We start from the raw sequence: 2,362 nt of genomic DNA on the forward strand, positions 1-2,362 counted from the left end.
CAGTAACAAAGAAACATTTTATTTTACGGGTACAAAGTATACCTTAAATTAAGATTTTCCTGAAGGTGCTTTTATATTTTTCTCCAGAAACCTCTCCTGTCTCCTATGAAAAACCCTAATGGCACAGATATGTCACCTCATGGATTTAGCCATCATACAGCAAATGAAGAGGCAGTGCTGTTTTTTGGCTCTCAGCAAAACTCCATCTTCTTTTCCTCTTTTTGTTTTCACTGATTTTTCTGACATCAACCACTCCCATCCTGTCTGTCTATGCTACTTAATCTCAGGTCTGTGCGCCTAACCCATCCCTTGCCCCAGGCTTCTGTACCTGTGGATCAGACTCCCTGCCAAGCTCCCTCACCATTGGGTTCTACCTAGGCCCTGAATTCAGCATGGCCAGGACTGACCTATTCAGCTTTCACTAAAAATCTTTCATCTATGTTTCTTACCTCCAGCTAGAACCCACCAGCTCTCCACTGTGAAAGTCAGATGTCCTACCCTGAGTTTCTTGAAGGATCTGTCAAGCTCTCTTTTGCCTCTAGGCGTTTCTACAAATATGCTGTTCCCTGAAATGCTCTCTGAGAAAAGTCAGACACGTCATTTATTTCAGGGCTCTGGAAAGTTTCTCTAATAGGAATCTTCTCTGAAGTCTTCTATAGCCTCCTGTGCTTGTCCATATTACAGAAGATCTCAAACCTCATAGCAACACTCATTCACGTGCTTCTGTCCCTACTGACTTCAGGGCTGTACTCGCCAATGTCTCCAGGAGCTTAGCACTGACGACGATGTTTTGAATCAATACGGTTATTGTAAACATTGGAGAAGTCATCCCAAGTTTCTGTAAGTACCATGCCCATTTGCACGTTACTCACTAGCTATTTATTAGGATTTCAGTTTTATAGAAAACGCCATCCTGCCCCCTGCCATGGCCACATAATAAGGTGGTTTGGTCATAAATTTCCTCCATTTTTGTTTGTCAGGTAAAGTCTTCCGGTCTCTTCATTTTTTAAGGTACAGGTTTTAGGTGAATTTTTCTCCCTTTCAAAACTTTAAATATTTTACCTCGTACTGTTTTGGTTGCATGGTTTCTGACAAGAGGTTCTCTGTAATTCTTACCCTTGTTTCTCCTTAGCTAAGATGCTCTTTTTTTCTGGCTGCTTTCAAGATGTTTCGTTTTCGAAAATTTGAATATGATCTGTCTGGGCATTTTTTACTGATTGATTGATTTTACTTACCCCACATTATGTTCTCTGAGCCTCCTGTATGGGTGGTTTGGTGTCGGTTTTAGTTTTTGTTTTTGTTTTTGTTTTGGATAGAGGATTTCATTTATAAAACAATTCAAATAGCACTTGGACTTAGGAAACATTTCCAATTTTTATTCATCACACTATTAATCAAAATTGCAACATCTAGAGTTTTAACAGACACTCTTTGTACTCTTTGGTGAAATGTCTGTTAAACTATTTGTTATTGATCTAGAGCCATAGATCAATAACAAAACAGGGAAACGAAATGTTCCAGAGACATCTCAAAAGTGCCAAAGAAACACGCACTAGGCTAAAATTCTACAGGTAAACCATCATCACACAGCAGGTTCTATTCATTCCTGTATTTTCGCAGTAAGTTCTTCCTTATGTTTGCCTTTCTCTTTTCTGACTTGTCAAGACTTGGCTTTGCACTCAAGAACTTTTTCCCATTTCTTGTCCAGCTTTAGCCTGTGATAACCACCTGGCTCGGGCGAATGCCCACAAAGACGGCGGTCCCATTGGTTCTTCTCACAATGCACCCACTCCGTGTAGATGACATTTATTTATGTACATCTGGACCACCTTGCTGATTTGCTGACCTTTGTAGTGTCTTCCAACCACCTGGACCTCTTTATCCTTGAGGATGGGCATGGAGTGGACACTGTGCTTCTGCTTCAGCTCCTTGCTGGGATATCATGCTGGGAGAGCAGGGACGGCAAGATGTTCCTGTGCACATGTGAGGGGCCAGTGAAGTGACATTTGCAGTTTTGGCTGTGGTCTAAGGTGATGAAGGGATTGAACTTTATGCTCACCATCTGGCTTCGGCCGGCCTAGTGGTGTCTGTCTTTTATTTAAGAAAGTTTTTGGCTATTATTACTTTGAATATTTCTTTTGCACTGTTCTCCATTCCCTCTTCAACTTTTCCTGTTAATCATATGTTTTGTTATGCCTTTTAAGATTGCTCCACTTTTATGTGCTATTCTGTTCTTTTTTAAAGTTTTTTTTTCTATTTTCCTTTCAATGTGGGAAATTTCTATTGATATATTTTCAAGCTCACTGATTTCTCCTCAGATATGTGAAGTCTACTGATGAGCCCATCAAAGACAGTGTTTATT

General features: G+C 40.3%; 1 annotated feature.

Annotated features, from left to right (window-relative positions):
* Nucleotides 319-1,518: an enhancer, noted in NCBI's record as "BRD4-independent group 4 enhancer chr8:5311453-5312652 (GRCh37/hg19 assembly coordinates)". NCBI's record gives its function as "activates an origin of replication core promoter dependent on BRD2, P300/CBP, MED14 and CDK7 cofactors, and independent of BRD4, by STARR-seq in HCT116 cells {active_cell/tissue: HCT116}" and the evidence as "EXISTENCE:reporter gene assay evidence [ECO:0000049][PMID:35650434]".

This window comes from Homo sapiens, chromosome 8, assembly GCF_000001405.40.
Source record: "Homo sapiens chromosome 8, GRCh38.p14 Primary Assembly".
NCBI lineage: Eukaryota > Metazoa > Chordata > Mammalia > Primates > Hominidae > Homo > Homo sapiens.